General features: G+C 35.9%; 1 protein-coding gene across 11 annotated transcripts in view; it reads left to right on the top strand.

The window, feature by feature from the left end:
- LRRK2 (leucine rich repeat kinase 2) overlaps positions 1-18,874 on the top strand; it is a 144,289-nt gene that overhangs the window by 24,038 nt on the left and 101,377 nt on the right. For 10 of the 11 annotated variants that reach the window (XR_007063041.1, NM_198578.4, XM_005268629.5 and 7 more), the window contains exons 8-14: positions 792-911; positions 2,198-2,340; positions 2,431-2,510; positions 3,876-3,982; positions 8,214-8,343; positions 10,446-10,570; positions 14,755-14,867. Coding sequence is in view for 10 of the 11 variants with exons in the window: in NM_198578.4 (NP_940980.4) it covers positions 792-911; positions 2,198-2,340; positions 2,431-2,510; positions 3,876-3,982; positions 8,214-8,343; positions 10,446-10,570; positions 14,755-14,867 (818 nt within the window). In the remaining variant the exon portion in view is untranslated. Of the gene's footprint in view, positions 1-791; positions 912-2,197; positions 2,341-2,430; positions 2,511-2,611; positions 3,092-3,875; positions 3,983-8,213; positions 8,344-10,445; positions 10,571-14,754; positions 14,868-18,874 lie in introns of those variants that run through there. The other variant, XM_024448833.2, reaches the window with a different exon arrangement.

Genomic DNA, 18,874 nt, shown 5'->3' on the forward strand with positions numbered 1-18,874 from the left:
TTATGATACAGGATATTTTCCATTTCTGGCTTTGTATCTCAGAGATCACTTAGTTACACTTATAGATGAATAGGAGTTTCAATTCCTTGTTTTAGAAAGAAGCTTGGTAACTGTTAGTGAGTTACAAATAAGCCAAATAGAAGAAGGTACATATTTCTGCAGTATCAGGTAAAGTTTTTCCTCATAAGGATTTAGACTCTTGGATATCATATTAATTCTCAGAAGAGTGGGTATAAAAAGGTATGGGACTTCTTCCTGGGGTGGGTTGGAGGTGGTGAAATACCTTTTTTTTTTTTTTTCTGAGATCATCATAGACAAGATCAAATAATGGTAAACATGCCAATGAATTTTCTAAGCACTATTCCTTTAAGTGAAAGAAGAGTGTTTCAGTAAAATGATTTAATATTGGGTCTTCCAAAAGATGGATTTAAGAGTTTCAACTTTAAAAGACAGAAAAATTAAGTTATTTTACACAATGAATATTGTCGTGCCGTGTGTCACAGACATGACATGAGAGGGAATCAGAGAACATACAGTTAATACAACGCAAACTAGTATCATTACTTTTGCTCAATCACTTCCATTGTCTAAGTAAGATAATTAAAGGACAGCATAAAATAAAATTTCAAAACTTTACTCAATCATATTAAGCTATTTTAATTAAAGTAAATGTTTTAATGCCATTGAATATTCATCACCATTCAAAATTATTGATGTAAATAGTGTTATATGTTAAAGGTAATTTAACTTCCATGGATGAGAATTCAGCTAATGTTTCACTTAACTTTTAGGTAATTTTTTCAATATCCTGGTATTAAACGAAGTCCATGAGTTTGTGGTGAAAGCTGTGCAGCAGTACCCAGAGAATGCAGCATTGCAGATCTCAGCGCTCAGCTGTTTGGCCCTCCTCAGTAAGTAACTTCACTAAAAAGGGGATTCTTACAGAGGCATTTGACATCAAATATGAACATTGTAACAAGAGAATCATATGTACAGATGGAAGCATTCAATGCCTTTTCTGTCCTGTGTAGCTCATTTTCCAGTAGAGGATACTTTCAAGGAAACTAACAGTTGTGACAAATATACACATCTCAATGTAGAGTTTTGCTTTACATCATTCTTGATTTAGCTTTGTCATTAAGCAGCTAATCTGTTTTAAAAAAATTTTTATTTGTGCCTGGGCATGGTGGCTCACGCCTGTAATCTCAGAACTTTGGGAGGCCGAGGCGGGTGGATCACAAGGTCAGGAGTTCGAGACCAGCCTGGCCAACATGGTGAAACCCCATCTCTACTAAAAATATAAAAATTAGTCTGGCATGGTGGCGGGCACCTATAATCCCAGCTGCTCGGGAGGCCGAGGCAGGAGTATCGCTTGGAACTGGAGGGTAGGAGTTGAAGTGAGCTGAGATTGTGCCACTGCACTCCAGCCTGGGCAACAAGAATGAAACTCCATCTCAAAAAAAATAATTTATTTGTGTTTTAAGTTCTGGTGTACACGTGCAGGATGTGCAGGTTTTTCACATAGGTAGACGTGTGCCATGGTGGTTTGCTATACCTATTAACCCATCACCTAGGTATTAAGCCCAGCATGCATTAGCTATTTTTCCTAATGCTCTCCCTTCTCCAGTCCCATCCCCTAACAGGCCCCAGTGTGTATTGTCCCTCTCCCTGTGTTCATGTGTTCTCATTGTTCAGCTCCCATTTATAAGTGAGAACACGCAGTGTGTGGTTTTCTCTTCATGTGTTAGTTATCTGAGGATAATGGTTTCCAGCTCCATCCGTGTCCCTGCAAAGGACATGAGATAATTCCTTTTTATGGCTGCATAGTATTCCATGGTATATATGTACCACATTTTCTTTATCTAGTCTATCATTGATGGGCATTTGGGTTGATTCCATGTCTTTGCTCTTGTGAATAGTGCTGTGATGAACTAATCTTTTCAAATAATCCTCCTCTCGTCTATTAGGTTTTTTTTTTTTTTGGTACCTTCTTCCTCATTTTATTATTTATCTGGATAGGATGGTAGCATTATGAGACGTATAATATATTAAAAATTATCTTTATAATTGACCAAGGCTTCTCCTAAAGCACACCTCATTCTGTTGGTAATATTTCAAAATATGGACTTAGAGTTGGTCAAACTGTTAAGTAGATAATATATATAATGTTTTTATATATTTTTCAATTTTTTTCAAGCTGAGACTATTTTCTTAAATCAAGATTTAGAGGAAAAGAATGAGAATCAAGAGAATGATGATGAGGGGGAAGAAGATAAATTGTTTTGGCTGGAAGCCTGTTACAAAGCATTAACGTGGCATAGAAAGAACAAGCACGTGCAGGTAGGACTCTCATAAATATTAGAGTTATTCAAAATTATGTTTTCCAGTCATTTATATTTTGACAGATTTCTTTTTTCTCCCCTAATCCAGGAGGCCGCATGCTGGGCACTAAATAATCTCCTTATGTACCAAAACAGTTTACATGAGAAGATTGGAGATGAAGATGGCCAGTTAGTAGTTTTGATTTTATATGATAGAAAATTTCAGTTATATTTTAAATCAATACCTATAAAATACCTTAACCGTAACTTTTATTGTTAGAAATATTTTTGATATAGGCATTTAGTTTTAGATGTTGCTGCAAAATAGTAGTAGGTATGTAGTATTTTGATCTCATCACCTTCAGGAGTTAGAAAAGGTAGAATGAGAGTTATTATTGAGAGATTTGGAATCAAGGGTCATTTGGTAATTCATGAATCATGGAGAAAGAATCTTTCTATTTTCTGGCTGATCGTTTTAAAATGCCATATTAATTCATCTTGGGTGATAGAAATTGCAGAGCCATCTGTGATCTTTTCTTCTATGGTGACTAGCCAGCAGGTTGTCAATATCAGAAATTAGATTTGGTTAGAGAGCTTCCTATGATGAGTTCCCAACTGATGTGACAGAGTTGACCTGTCTTCTTTCGAGAGGGTTATTTGAAGCTGTCATCTCTGGATAACTCTTTCAATAGGAGTGCCATTCAAACATCATAAGACCGGCACTCTCTCCCAAAGATACAAGCTGTAGCAAGGAGTTTTGTGCATATCAGGTTTGTTTCATATCCGTGAGCCTTTGTGTTTTATGGCAACTGATTGATTATACTTGTGCTATTTGCAATGGGTATCCTCTGGGTTTTAAATAGTGAATGACTTATTTTGGAAACAAATAGTAGTATTCTATGTCTGAAATCTTGACCGTCTATTTGTTTAATTATCTATTGCTGATAAGAAGGGAATTAATAACACAGATGCTACTTAATTAAATATTTTCATTTTGACAAGAAACAGTAATTCTTTTGAAAACTATGCTAAATTGGCATCTTAATAATCTCATGTTGAGCAAGGCTTTTGGAGATTAGGGTAAGGGAGATTCATGTCGCAGTTTATAAATTTCAGTTCATAGGATACCTATTTTTCAATATCCATAAGATAACTTTAAAATAAATATATTATTAAAACAAAGAAAATATATTTACGTTATACATCTTTAAAACCTACCTTGCTTCTTTACAATTTTCAGTTTTTCCTCTCTTGTTTCCATTCTCTTCTCCTCACTTTACCTTTTTCCTCAGCATCTCTTTACATATCTGCTGAGCTTTTTTATTTCTCTCTGCTGCATATGCTTTTGAAAAAGCATAAAAATACTAATTTGTTAGGATTTAATTAATTCGAGTCTTAAAAAATGAACTATAATTCACTCTTGTAAGTGGAGGTGGCATGAAATATTGTTTATATGCTCTTAATTGTTGTTAGAGATATTTGATAATGGCAAGTGAGAATTTGAGATAGTTATTTAAAAGATTACTACTAACATTTTGTTTGAATTTTTGAAAGTTTCCCAGCTCATAGGGAAGTGATGCTCTCCATGCTGATGCATTCTTCATCAAAGGAAGTTTTCCAGGCATCTGCGAATGCATTGTCAACTCTCTTAGAACAAAATGGTAAGCAGTGGGCCATGTTTTCAAATAAAGGGAAACACATTTTTGTGGTATTTTTAATTATAGAAGCTATATACTGTGAAAAATTTACATAATTTATAAAGCTATATATTGTGAAAGATATCTCTATGTGTAGAGATGTATTGACATATGGATTATGAATATATAGGTAAAAGGATGAAGAATAAAATAAACATTTGTTGTATATTTTTCCGGACTTCTATGTGTAAACTCACACATGACATATACAAAATTTTATGTATTTTGTAGAAATGGGATCATATTATACTCTTTTATAACCAAATTTTATTTATTCTCTTTTTTATGTTGATACATGTGTATTCTCACATTATCATTTTATTTTTAATTTTTTAAATTAATTTTTGTTTTTAGATATGGTCTCACTCTGTCACCTAGGCTGGAGTGCAGTACCATGATCATGGCTCACTACAACCTCAAACTTTTGGACTCAGGTGATGCTCCCACCTCAGCTTCCTGAGTATCTGGGACTACAGGCATGCACTGCCATACCTGGCTAATTTTTTGCAGAGATGGTGTTTTGCCATATTGCCCAGGCTGGTCTCGAATTCCTGGGCTCAAGCAATCCATCTGCCTTGGCCTCCCAAGTGCTGGGATTACAGGCATGAACCACTGTGCCCGGCCCAAATTATAATTTTTAATAGCTTTGTAGTTTTTCAGTGCTTGCCTGTATTCTGTTTTATGAACCAATTTCTTACTGATGAAGTTTTAGTTTGTGTCCAGTGGGATGTTTCTGGAACCCATAGTAAACACCAGTGATCACTTTCCTCCTCTGTTTTCCTTTATACATGGTTCCTATTATTTTCTTGGGAAAATTTCATAGAAATGCAACTGGGTAGAGAGCTATTCACCATTTTAAAATCTGGTAAAATTGTCTATTATAAATTTCCACACTATACTTTTTTAAAAAATCGTTCTTTAATGTAATTCTTATAAATCTTATAGCTTTGTATAATTATGAAGAGAAAAATGGCTTGTATCCCTTTAGAAAGACATGAGTTTTAAGATTATGGTTCAGGCTGCTCAAATTTCTTCCCCCATAAACAGGAATACTGCCAGAAATCCTTAGGTGAAAACTCATCATAAAGGCATTGGGACTTGGCAGCTTTTGCAGGACATTTTTAGAGGGCAAAAAATAGAGAAAAACACTGAAAGTCAGAGACAGAGACCAGTGTAAGCATCAGCTTTTAATAGAGAAACTGGGTAGGGTGGAAAAAAAATAAAGCAACCACCTCATGCATGTTTCTTTATATTATTATTGAAGTCAAATAAAGAGGAAAATCATTTCTTCTTCCTCTTCCTCCTTTTTCATCTCACCTCTCCAATGGCACTTTAATAAAACGCTTGGAGTGGCCAGGGCACTGACAGACAGACAGGGGCTGCTCTCAAGGATAATGAGTCAAAGGGGAAGGAGAGGGAATCGCTGTTCTCGAATCTCTCTTATTCTACTGTGCAGTTAAAGAGGTCTGGACAGGGATTTCACTCCTGAAAATGAGGACTGGACTTTGTGGCTTCTGTTGGGGCACCTTTAGAGTGGAGGTAGACTTTTACTATGTACAGACAACATTGTGTTGGTGACATCATTCATAACCACCTGGAAATCTCCTTTGATATGCAAATCAAACAACCATAACTTTGTGAAATTTCGACTGCTTCCTATTGTGGTGTCTGAGGACTGGTTACATTCAGAGTCCACCCTGATGTCTTTGTTCAGTTTTCTGCTCTTTCTAGTTCCTTACTTCTTTGTTCCTGATCACCTGTCAAGTAAAATGTCCTCAGATCCTTTTGTATTGTCTTTGGAGTTCTGCCTTAATAAAGCATGAAGAACTTGAGTAGCTCGTTCATCAACTTTCTTGGGCAATTTCTCATTGAAAGACACTTGGGTGTCTTTGGGTGTGCAGAGCTGAGCATGGCTTTATGTTTTTAGAAAAAATGGCTACATTGGCAGGCAGAAGAACTGCGTCCTTGGAATCATGGAGGTCCCAAGGTTGCATACATTTTGTGTGACATTTTTCCTATTCAATTAATTAACTAATATTTATTGAGCTCCCAAGTGTGTAGTGTCTGTAGGCACTTGGGATGCATTCATTAAGTAAAAATCCCAGGCTCATGGAGTTTAAACTGTAGTAGGGAAGATAATAAGATTAACTAAAATATGTAATATTTGAGGCAGTTAAGAATAAAAAATGAAGCAAGGAAGGAGAATATGATATGTTAGACATCAGAGGAGATGAAGTTGTGAATAGGCAGCCAGGAAAGAAGGTGACTATTGAGTAAGACCTGCAGGGCGTCGCATATTGTTTTTTGCCTCTGAAAGCAGTTAATTTCCTGTTAAAATGGAGTGGATGAGATCAAGAGTATTACGTAGATAGCTGGTAAATGCGATAGTGTGTAAAATGTTCTATAAAGTCTAACGTGACTTTATGATGAAATTTCTTCTTCTAGGTTTATTGCTTGCAATTTTCAAACCACACATTGGGTTACTGTCTAGGATAGTGATTCTTAAAGTGTGGTTCCTGGACCAGCAGCATTTGCTGGGGGAACTTGATAAACAGTGTAAATTCAAGGACCCCATACAGACCTTCTCAATCACAAACCCTGGAGTTGAGACCCAGCAATCCATGTTTTAACAAGCTCTCCAGGTGATTCTGATGCACACTAAAGTTTGAGAACCACTAACCCAGTGTCATTTTTGTCTTTTAAAGTGTCTTCTTGGCTAGAAGCTAGCCACTTTGGGAAAGGTTATTACAACTTCTGATGTGATCAAGCAAAGTAACCAACTCTTTATTGTATCTTAATATGTGATATTCTGAATGTGTTTAAAAGGTATGAGTTTTTCAGGCTCTGGCAGTATTTTAGAATGTGTATGTGATTTCTATTTATTTCCATGTTTTGTCCTATCTTCTTAAGATAGACTACTTATTTTAAAAGCAGTACTTAAGTTAAAACTTTTTATGTTTCTTTTTCTGCCACTTTCAAAGTGTTGAATCACAGTGTGTAATGTTGGAACTGATATTTTTATAGCGGCTTCAAGACAATTGATATTTATGTGGAAACTTGAAGACAGTAGGTTTATGTTTAGTGAAGGAAGTTTATTACAAAGAGGAAAATTGGCCAGTTGTGGTGGCTCACGCCTGTAATCCCAGCACTTTGGGAGGCCAAGGCAGGAGGATTGCTTGAGCTCAGGAGTTCAAGACCAGGCTGGGCAACATAGTGAGATCCCCTCTCTACAAAATATTAACAAAAATTAGCCAGGCATGGTGGCACACTTGTAGTCCCTGGTACTTGGAGGCTGAGACAGGAGGATCACTTGAGGCCAGGAGGTTAAGACTGCAGTGAGCTATGATCATGCTACTGCACTCCAGCCTTGGCAACAGAGAGAGATGCTGTCACAAAAAGAAACACCAACAAAAAAAGAGGAAAATTATTCCTTAATCATTATTGCTGGAATATAGTTACTTTCCACAAATAGTGAAGTGCCAGTTGTAAAGCATATCTATATGTTTCCTAGACTTTGGCATTACTTTGTGAAAATAACTGTAATTACTTATGTTCTATGTAAATGCTTTCCATTCATTTGTATATGATGGCATATATAGAAATTATAATGTTTGTAAAGTCCACTGGGATAAATGGACAAAGCAGCTGAAGGCTGAAAGCAACCAAGCCTTTTACAGCCCCTTCATTCCCCACACTCCCAAAAAGCTGAGTGAATGGTCGATACCTCCACATGCTTATAACTCATTCCCAGCCCACCAGTGTCTAGCATATCTGGTTAGTCTTAGCTTTATATAAGTGCAGTTATTTGTGAACTTGTTTTAAGTATTGGAATACAATTTAACTTTCATTCTTATTTTGGAGACCATTATTTAAACAGATTTCTTTTTTCCTGCAAAAACACTCTTTTCACAATGGACAGAGACACGGTGATTACATTAAAACCATCTACTCTATGAATAAAAATGTTAAAACCAAAATCCCAACAAAGGGTTAATAAAGGCAAAAAAAATTGGAAATGACATGTGTTTTAAAGAAATAAACATGAATTATCTTTAAGCTGTCAATGAACTATAAATTATGTGTGCTCTTGTATATGCTTTCCTGTAAATTTGGACTATATTAATATTCTAAAGCTTATGGTAAAATTATGAAAATATGCTTTCATATCTATAAGTAACATTTTAAAAAATCTCAGTTAATTTCAGAAAAATACTGTTATCAAAAGGAATACACCTGAATGTTTTGGAGTTAATGCAGAAGCATATACATTCTCCTGAAGTGGCTGAAAGTGGCTGTAAAATGCTAAATCATCTTTTTGAAGGAAGGTAATATAGATTCATTAACTTGTACAGAATATATCATATTGGGCCAGGTAGAATATCAATATTTCAAGCATATTTCTAACAATGAAAAGAAAAAGAAAAACATAAGACACTTGAAAACTGAAGCATTTTGCAATGTAATCTCGTGTCACTAGTACCATAGACTTACTTTATCTGAACACTGAAAGGAATGGCAAGATTGTGGAAACATGTTGAAGGTTTGCTTTTGAACCTGATGCTTGATGTTGACTATATTTTGAAAAGTGGTAATTGTATAGCACATAGCATACAGCAGTTTTTCTAATTATTGTGTGTGTGAAAGTTATAAAAGATAAAATCAGTTTATGGCTAAATTTTGCTCTTTCACAACGAATATATTATTCCTTCATCTGAATGAACTTTGTCTTCTCTTCCTGCTCTCAATCCTTAGTTAGGGAAAATTTTAACTACATCTAGTCCAAGTGCAGAGATGCTAAGATTATATAGCTGGCGGTTAGTGGCACAACAGAGACCATATCCTTTGATCTATGTGTGGATGGTGGTGGGGCAGGGTGGGATGAGGTGGGGGTGAGGGGTGGTAGGTGTGGGCAGAACTCTCATGTGTAAAAAAAATAATTGGCACAGAAGTTGCAGTGAAAACTAATTTTGTTCCTGGTTTTGCCACTAATTTGAGCCAACTGTTTCATCTCTAAAACTTCACGTTCCTCATTGATAAAGAGGAATGATAATAACAACTTTGAAAGTTGTAAGCTTAGAATGTAAGGATTAAATAAATTAATTTTTACAAAGGGATTAGGATAATGCCTGCTGCATTTTAAGCACTCAACAAATTGTGTCTATTGTTGTTATACTGTTACTAAGTGTGAATAAATGAAGTGCATATAGCATGAAATGTAGCGTAACTGCAGACTTGTAAGAAGTAGGGTTACACTGTTTTTAACATCAGTCTAACTAATCTATGTTTATATATCTTTCTAAGCTGTATTTCTCTTATTTAAGTGTTGTTTTTGAACACTGAGATGAAAAGTTTATCTTAAATGTTGATTTTAATGGGGCCGGAAGTGTGCAAACCTTTACAAATGAGGCAAAAACACAGCGGAATAAACTCCAGTCTAGGATTCTGTAGATTCTGGGCAAGGCATTTAATGTTTCTCGCTGCATGCTCTTACGTAAAATGTGTACAGTTGCAGCCCTGGAGATTCCGCATTGGCTCTGACAGTGTGTCTGCCCCTACAGAACTCATGTGAGTCGAGAGACTGATAAGTAAACAGATTATTATAATACAGTCTCAGAATGCAGTGGCAGTAGTGTGTAAAAGACGCAATGGTAAGAGTAGAGTGGACTCAGCTGGGGTTACCCAAGGAGGGGAGGCTCCAATGGAGGGATGTGTTTAAACTGGGACTTTAAGTTGGAAAAGAAGGAATGTATCTCAGTGTCCACAGAACCATGCAAAGTGAGAACATGGTTCTGATATGCACAAGTTTCAGTTAACAAGCAAAGCAAGGATTGACTGTATTAAAGTTCATAGTACCTACTGCATTCTAGTCAAGTGACATTTGCTCATATGTAAAAGAAAGAATAGCTTAAATACCTGAGAGAAACCAAGACTGTAAAACAAATTAAAAATAATTAAAAATACCTTATAAGAAGTCCAGTGATGTTAATCTGGAAGAGGAAGGTTCGTGTGATGTAAAGAGGCCTTGTCTTGGGGTCAGACAAGTTTGGGTACCAGCCTTGTCTCTGTCACTTTCTAGTGATAAGACCTGAATATTTAACCTCTATCTGTCTAAGTTCTTCATGTAGAAAATGGGGATAATAACACCTACCTGCTGGGATTGTTGTTATTGACCCATCGTAGGTCAGAAGGATGTTGTTAGTTTTATGAAGTGAAATAATTCCCGGATTACTATGAATTCTATCTTATGAGTTCAAAGTTTAGACAATTAAAATTATGTATGCTCATACTACTGATTTCAAATGCATTTTCATATAGTCTTTCCTGATAAAATATATTGGTTCTGCCCTCCTGTACTTATTTCAATTTGGTGTTTATACCATTGAATCAGATCAGTCTTTCAATAAGCATGCCAATTTTATATCCCCAGCAACACTTCCCTGGATATAATGGCAGCAGTGGTCCCCAAAATACTAACAGTTATGAAACGTCATGAGACATCATTACCAGTGCAGCTGGAGGCGCTTCGAGCTATTTTACATTTTATAGTGCCTGGTAAGTTACATAGTTGATTGTGGGAAGAGATAACAATTTAAATGGATTTTTGATTTTTCATGAAATAGCAATATTCTAGGCAAATATTAAAAGACTAGTTTCTGTCGACTAAATGTAAATCTTTCTGTTAAACCAAAAAGAGGTTAAATATGATGCAGAAGAGTCACTTAGATTAATTTTTATAAGAAAGCAATATGAATTCAGTAATTTATTTATACAAAGTAACTACAATGTAAAATGTGGAGCTTTTATTTTTAAGGAGGGTGTTCATCTCTGATAATTCTTTTCTATTTTTGTTGCCATGACCTGAGTTCAAGCTTTTTTTCTCTTGTTTGAATTGTACTATTAGCTAATTTTCATACCTGTTCTCTTCCTTCATTTCTATCCTTTTCTTACTCTATGATTGAATTAATCTTTCTCCAATGTGGCTTGTACTCATTTACCTCAATGGCTTCCACCCTCCACCCACCTTTAATTGTTACTGACATCTGTTATCACCTTATTTGTTCTCCAAAGCCCCTTTAAAACACCTATGTCTGTATTCATCCAACACATTTATTAAGTGCTTCTTATGTTCTAAGCACTGTGATGCTGTTAAACTTTAAAAGATGAATTGGAAAAAAAGCACAACTGTACTATTATAGGAGCTTAGAGGTAGATGGAAGTGTAAATAGATAATTAACAGGCAGCGTGAGAGAGGCGATGATAGATGCATATATAAAAGGCTTTGAGAATATCGATGGAGGCACAAATAATTTCTTCAAAGGAGTAGGACAGAGATTGTAATATTTGAGGTGGAAGGGTAGATAGAGCTGGCCTGGTAGAAAGGCCAAGGAAGACATTTCAAGCAGAAGAAAGTGCACATGGTCGGGGGTGAGTGAGGCATGGAGGATAAGGAGAGGAGTGCTTGGGGATGAGTGTGGAAGGAAAGGCTGAGGCCCAAAGAAAAGGGCCTTGAATGCAGTGCTAAAAATTTTTTGCCTTTTAAAAATGGAAGCCAACCCAAGTTTATTAAAATTGTTTGCAGATTGTAGTGTCACACCGAAATTTGCAACTAAAGACAATAGCATTGTGGTGCAGAGGATGATAGACAGGGAGAGAGACTAGATACAAGGAGATTGGGTTGGAGGTCCATGGTAGTCAAGTGAGACCCAGTGAAGGGACCCAGCAATGGAAACACAGATGAGAGGGCAGATTGGACAGATGGTTGGGAGATCTGTTTGATGTGACATCGTGATCCCTAAGTATGAGGGATGATACTTTGTTCTGTGAAGTTCCCAATCTTTTGAAGTCATTTTTGCTTTGTTCTTTTAAAATGAAATCTTCCTAAATCTATCATTTTCTCTAGTTATATAGGTATTTTGTTTCTCTGTATAAGAGTATTACTCAATATAAAAGTTTTTTCAAGGACAGAGCTTTCTTCAGTCATTTTTTTCTGGGCCCCCCAGTCCTCTGGTGGCTATTCAATCAGTATTTTAAAAATTGAATCATGGTGTCCTATTCATAGTTTCAGCTTAGTTTTGAGACGTAATGTAACAGATGTAATTTTACTTGAAAATATTATTGCATGTTTTATTGAATTTTATTTTTAGATTGTAATTAAAAACAATAAAAATGCCTTTTGATTATCCTTAAAGTTGACAGCCTTATTCTTTTGAGGGAGGTTTTGGGTTTTAAAGATAACCAAAGGACACTCAAAAACCGTTTCTGTTAGTTAATAAAATAATACTCTTTTAGTCCAAAAGCAAGTTTTGAATACAGTATTTCTTTTCTTTTATTGTTCTTAAACTGATCCTGAAGGAAAATTGTTAGTTAACAATCAATCAGATGTATTATGGGTGCCCTTGAAAATAATCACTTGAGGACTGTACTTAATGTAAAAAAATACATTTTATAAGCATATCAGTATGTAAGTACATTCTTCTAGTAGGTAAAGGCTTAATCATTTACTGTATGCTAACATATTATACTACCACAGTACACCATACTGTACTGTACCCAACGTAATGTACCATGCCGTGCAGTACCGTATCATTCTAGGTATCAACAAGTAACTATGGTAGCAATACTCCAGTAGTTTTGAGGTTGAATATGATTCTGGTTTGAACATGTTAAGTTGAGGTTCTTATGAGATACCTAGGTGTACATGTATTCATTTATTAGCTAGATTATATTCAGGTTTTTTAGTGGCAAAGATGTACATTATGGCAAATGTGTATAATTTAGGGTCCAATTAAGGATAGCATATTGCATCTAGTGCATATATCTTAAGTTTCTTTCAATCTATTACTGTACTTTTTCTCTTCTACTTTATAATAACTTGTTATATAGACATTGAGCTGGTTGCTTTAAGAAAATAATAATGAAGACCCAGTTACTTTAATAAAATATCATTTGACTTGTTTCTTGAGTTACTGCTAGTTTTAGAGGAAATAATGTGAAATTCTTTAAGAAGGGATATAGGCAAATTGGGAAGTATATAGAGGAGAGTGATTAGGGAGATAAAAGCACATCAAAAAGAGCAATAAGAGGAACTGAGATTGTTTTATTTGAAGAAGAGATGACTCAAAGGGATATGAAACTCTATTCAAATCTACTTACTTATAACCAGTAACAGTAATAATACCAAACAATATGGAGGACTTAAAAAGTATTAGGCATTGTTTGAAGTATTTTAAGTATATTATCTCTTCTGATTCTAACAGCACTCCATGAGGCAGATATTATTATTATTATTATTTTGGTATTGTATGGACTACAAAACTGAGGCATAGAATTGTAGAGATTTTTAAGGTCAGGCCTGATATAACAGCACCAGATTTTCAGCTTATGCAGGCTGACTCCAGAGTAGGCATTTTAAAATAAATATTTGTGCAACAATCTTGTCCTGAACAACTGTTGTATTTAAAGCACTATGTCTAGAATCCTTAAGGTATCGGGAGATGATGAGATTATGGATACTGCTCTCAAAAAAATTTACAGTCCACACGACCTAAAGGACTGTTATGTAGAAAGGAAATTATATCCATTTGAATAGTAGGACCTCAAGTGATAGAACAAAGACTGGAGAAGAAATTTACAGGAATGTTCATTTGGTCTTAATTTAAGGAAGATGTTAAATAAGACCCATTACATGTAGCATGATGTTTTTACTACTCAGGCCAGTTTTAGTGGTCACATCTTCTTAAGGTGTAATAGGCAGCCTCAGAAGTTACTGTGGTCTTGCTCACTGGAAATGATACACAGACAGTTTAAGGGACTTGCCCCAGACCACACGGCAAGAGGTGAATGTCAGAACCTCTTTGAGTACATTTTAAAATAAGGACTGAAAGTTGGAGGAGGGTGGTTATCAAGGCTGCCTTCCTTACCATAGTATTCCCAGCATTAACAAAATCCTTGGCATGTAATTGGAATTCAGATGCTTCTTAAATAAATGAAAAGCCTGTTGTAGCCAGCTTACAGTTTGCATTAATGCAGATTATTAAAGTGGAAGATCATAAATGATTTTTTATTAATATTTATGTCTATAATCTTAGGTTTGGAAAACATTATTCATTCATAATAATTTTAATTATATGTTACATTACCACATTTTTGACTTGTAGTGTTTTTAGCATAGTTCAGCTACAGTGTAGCTTAATAAAGAATATGATTTTTTAAAATAGCAATGCTATTATATAGCCTTTACAGAACTTCTAAAAAATGACATGTTCTCTACCACCTTAATACTGAAACTCAAATCTTATTTTTTGCTACGATTATTCCAGCTACTCTTTTTTGTCTATATTTCATTTCTGCCTTTTTATGTTGTGGTCCAAGTAACTCTGAGCTTTTCTCATGTTGTCCATTGTTGCATAAAAATCTTCCAGCATCTTAAAGCACAGCCTACTCACACAAAAAAGTGATTGTTTGCTACAGAAAATTTCTTCACCATCGTAATTTTTTGCTACTTCAAATTCAGTAAGCATTCTTACACATTATATTTATTTTATATTCAGTGATGAACTATTTTTATAGATTCCTTAAAATTTCTGGTTATTTATTTGATAAGGAAACATGTACTAGAAAAAAGTACAACACATATATTGTGAGATTAATTATGACAATTTCTAGAAAGTAACAGTCTGTTCAACTCAAATGTTTATAAGAAAATTCTTTCTTTATTTATTTATCTGTGCATTTAGGCATGCCAGAAGAATCCAGGGAGGATACAGAATTTCATCATAAGCTAAATATGGTTAAAAAACAGTGTTTCAAGAATGATATTCACAAACTGGTCCTAGCAGCTTTGAACAGGGTATGTTGAATATAAGTTTTCTGTATTTATACTATTAACTAAAATATTAAATTTGGAGAACTAGGGGCGCTTTTTCAGTCTAAGTTTTCTGTTCTCCGTTTGCTATGATAGGAGGAAGTCATGTGGTTAGAGACATAAGATGACAGTGGGGATGTGGGAAGTGAAAAGATATGTACTAAGCTAAGTCCAGCTAAGTGTATTATCAATTATAGATGTAGGCAAGATTCTTTTGATTGCCAGTAACATAAATCCACTCTAGTTTGCTCAACCAGAAAGAGAACCAAAGAGCCATATATGCAGCTAGACCTTGTGAGTCATGCTGGGTACTATGGCTGCTGTTTTCTCTTTCTGTCCTCTGGCTACTTGTCTTTCTTTTCTGGTCTCATAGTATATGGTTTAGCCCATGAAGACATACCAGTGTTAACAGTAAAGTCTTCGGCTGGGCACAGTGGCCCACACCTGTAATCCCAGCACTTTGGGAGGCTGAGGTGGGTGGATCACGAGGTCAGGAGTTCGAGAGCAACCTGGCCAACATGGTGAAACCCTGTCTCTACTAAAAATACAAAAATTAACTGGGCATGGTGGCACGTGCCTGTAATCCCAGCTACTCAGGAGGCTGAGGCAGGAGAATCGCTTGAACCCAGGAGGCAGAGGTTGCAGTGAGCTGAGATCACACCACTGCACTCCAGCTTGGGCGACAAGAGTGAGACTTCGTCTCAAAACAAAAACAAAAACAGACAAACAAAAACAGTAAAGTCTTCTTTGATTCCCTACGCTCCTTTTCATTGTTCTCCGGAGAAATAACCTCTGAAATGATTTGGTATACATTGTTTCCATTTTTTAGCATTTACATATCCATGTTCCTACATTATAATTAAAGTATCCATAAATCATACTGAGTATGAAAAAGAGAAGAAGGGAATTACATTTAAATTGTGTAATGCAAAAAGTATTGGTGGAATTAAGAAGTTTTGGAAATTTTGCATAAGATGAATTGGTTCTTTATTAAAGATGTTAAGAATAAAGACATAATTAGTGTGAACATTTTTATAAAAGGAGGAGCCTATTTAAAATAATTAATGGAAATGATTCCATGTGATTTGATATACTTTGATGAATGTCATAAATTAATTAAAGTGGCTTCCAGAGAGATCTCCCTTAAAAATTCATTTTAAATTGAACTTTATACTGTCACTCACTGCCTATAATATGTTTGAGTCATTTATACTCAAACTTTAATACAATCCTTGAGTATGGCAAGAATTTATGTTGTAATGGGTTAAATTTATCTTGAGAAATATTTGTTGAAAATAAGTATATGGAAGGAAGGGGTTAGGCATTTAGAAGATAAATAAATATGCTTTGTACTCTTCTCTCCTGAATCTCATAAGCCGGTTGTTGATGGCTGTTGTGAAACCTTGGTTCTTTTCTTTAAACAAGAGACACACAGCAGAGGAGATGCAGCATCGAGTAATTTATTGCAAAAGAAAAAGAATATTTTGCAAGTTAAGTGAGGAATAGACACTTATACCCTGACAGAATTCAGGGTGGGCTTACTAGTAAGGATGAGACAGCGTAAATTGGCACTAGGAAGACTCCCTTTGTGGGAGTTGTACATGATTTTTCATAAGTGGGTGGGAAGAAGTGTTACTAGTAAGCATATTCTAGGTTGTCCTCTGAGTGAACATGTGCAGTAGCTGTACATGCTTGTTCATATATCGCATGTCTCATAAGTATCTGAAATCTCCACCCAGGGGTGTGTGTTTTACTATTATAATGAGCAAAGGGTCAGTCTGAGGACAAGGAAAATCAAAATGTGCATGCTCCCCACGCTACCTGACTTCAAACTATACTACAAAGCTACAGTAACCAAAACAGCATGGTACTGGTACCAAAAAAGAGATATAGGCCAATGGAACAGAACAGAGCCCTCAGAAATAATGCCGCATATCTACAACCATCTGATCTTTGACAAACCTGACAAAAACAAGAAATGGGGAAACGATTCCCTATTTAATAAATGGTGCTGGGAAAACTGGCTAGCCATATGTAGAAAGCTGAAACTGGATCCCTTCCTTACACCTTATACAAAAATAAATTCAAGATGGTTTAAAGACTTAAATGTTAGACCTAAAACCATAAAAACCCTAGAAGAAAACCTAAGCAATACTATTCAGGACATAGGCATAGGCAAGGCCTTCATGTCTAAAACACCAAAAGCAGTGGCAACAAAAGCCAAAATTGACAAATGGGATCTAATTAAACTAAAGAGCTTCTGCACAGCAAAAGAAACTACCATCAGAGTGAACAGGCAACCTACAGAATGGGAGAAAATTTTTGCAATCTACTCATCTGACAAAGGGCTAATATCTAGAATCTACAATGAACTCCAACAAATTTACAAGAAAGAAAAAACAACCCCATCAAAAAGTGGGCAAAGGATATGAGCAGACACTTCTCAAAAGAAGACATTTATGCAGCCAACAGGCACATGAAAAAATCCTCATCATCATTGGCCATCAGAGAAATGCAAATCAAAACCACAATGATATACCATCTCACACCAGTTAGAATGGCGATCATTAAAAAGTCAGGAAACAACAGATGCTGGAGAGGATGTGGAGAAATAGGAACACTTTTACACTGTTGGTGGGACTGTAAACTAGTTCAACCATTGTGGAAGACAGTGTGGCGATTCCTCAGGGATCTAGAACTAGAAATACCATTTGACCCAGCCATCCTGTTAGTGGGTATATACCCAAAGGATTATAAATCATGCTGCTATAAAGACACTTGCACACCTATGTTTATTGTGGCACTATTCACAATAGCAAAGACTTGGAACCAACCCAAATGTCCAACAATGATAGACTGGATTAAGAAAATGTGGCACATATACACCATGGAATACTAAGCAGCCATAAAAAATGATGAGTTCATGTCCTTTGTAGGGACATGGATGGTACTCAGCAAAGTATGCCAAGGACAAAAAACCAAACACCATATGTTCTCACTCATAAGTGGGAATTGAACAATGAGAACACATGGACACAGGAAGGGGAACATCACACTCTGGGGCCTGTTGTGGGGTGGGGGGAGGGGGGATAGCATTTGGAGATATACCTAATGTTAAATGACAAGTTACTGGGTGTAGCACACCAACATGGCACATGTATACATATGTAACTAACCTGCACGTTGTGCACATCTACCCTAAAACTTAAAGTATAATTAAAAAAAAATGTGCATGCTCCATACAGGGGCAATTCCCTACTGGAGATAGCTTTGCTTAAATGAGCTGGACTACAATGCAAATGCTGAAACTTACTATATTGACAGTAAGATTGCCACAGTTGCCGCGTCCTGAGGACATGGTTACTTCCTTTTAATACCTATCCTGTCTCATTGTGAGAGGATTAACAACTGTGCATAAAACCAGTTGTTCTACATGAGCACTTAGGAGGGATACCAGCATTGTGAACATAGTTTAAGTACGTAGAGGAGGGAACAGTTAAGTTTATTCATGGTGAGTGTTGGTGAAAAGTGGAAGAGGTACCAAAACAGCCGTATAGATAACTGGTTCCAGTTAGCCAACATTCTCTAAAGTTATTAGAGAAGCCTAAGTGAGGTGTAACCTCAGCAGTCGGGAGCCAAGAGAGCAAGTAAGTGCTGTGATGTGGAGAAAATCACTTTGTTCCAACTGAGAAGAAATGGTTGAGCACTGCTTTTCCCCCATGCCAGTACTGACGCACAGCCTTTCACTTAGCACTGATTATCGATAGGGGTGGGGAGTTAAGGTATGGGGAAACACAAGTAACAATATTTTATTTCAAAAACCTCTCCACTGTAATTCCCCTAATCCTTCATCATGGTTGAGGAAAATGGCTCTAAAAAATGAGAGCAATTACTGTAGCTCCAAAATTCTGTGATTGCATGTCTTACTCTGAATAGCAATTACAAAGCATCAGAGGATTTAGGTCCAAATATTGCAGACACAAGAAAATGAA

The sequence above is a fragment of the Homo sapiens genome, chromosome 12 (assembly GCF_000001405.40).
Source record: "Homo sapiens chromosome 12, GRCh38.p14 Primary Assembly".
In the NCBI taxonomy this organism is placed as follows: domain Eukaryota; kingdom Metazoa; phylum Chordata; class Mammalia; order Primates; family Hominidae; genus Homo; species Homo sapiens.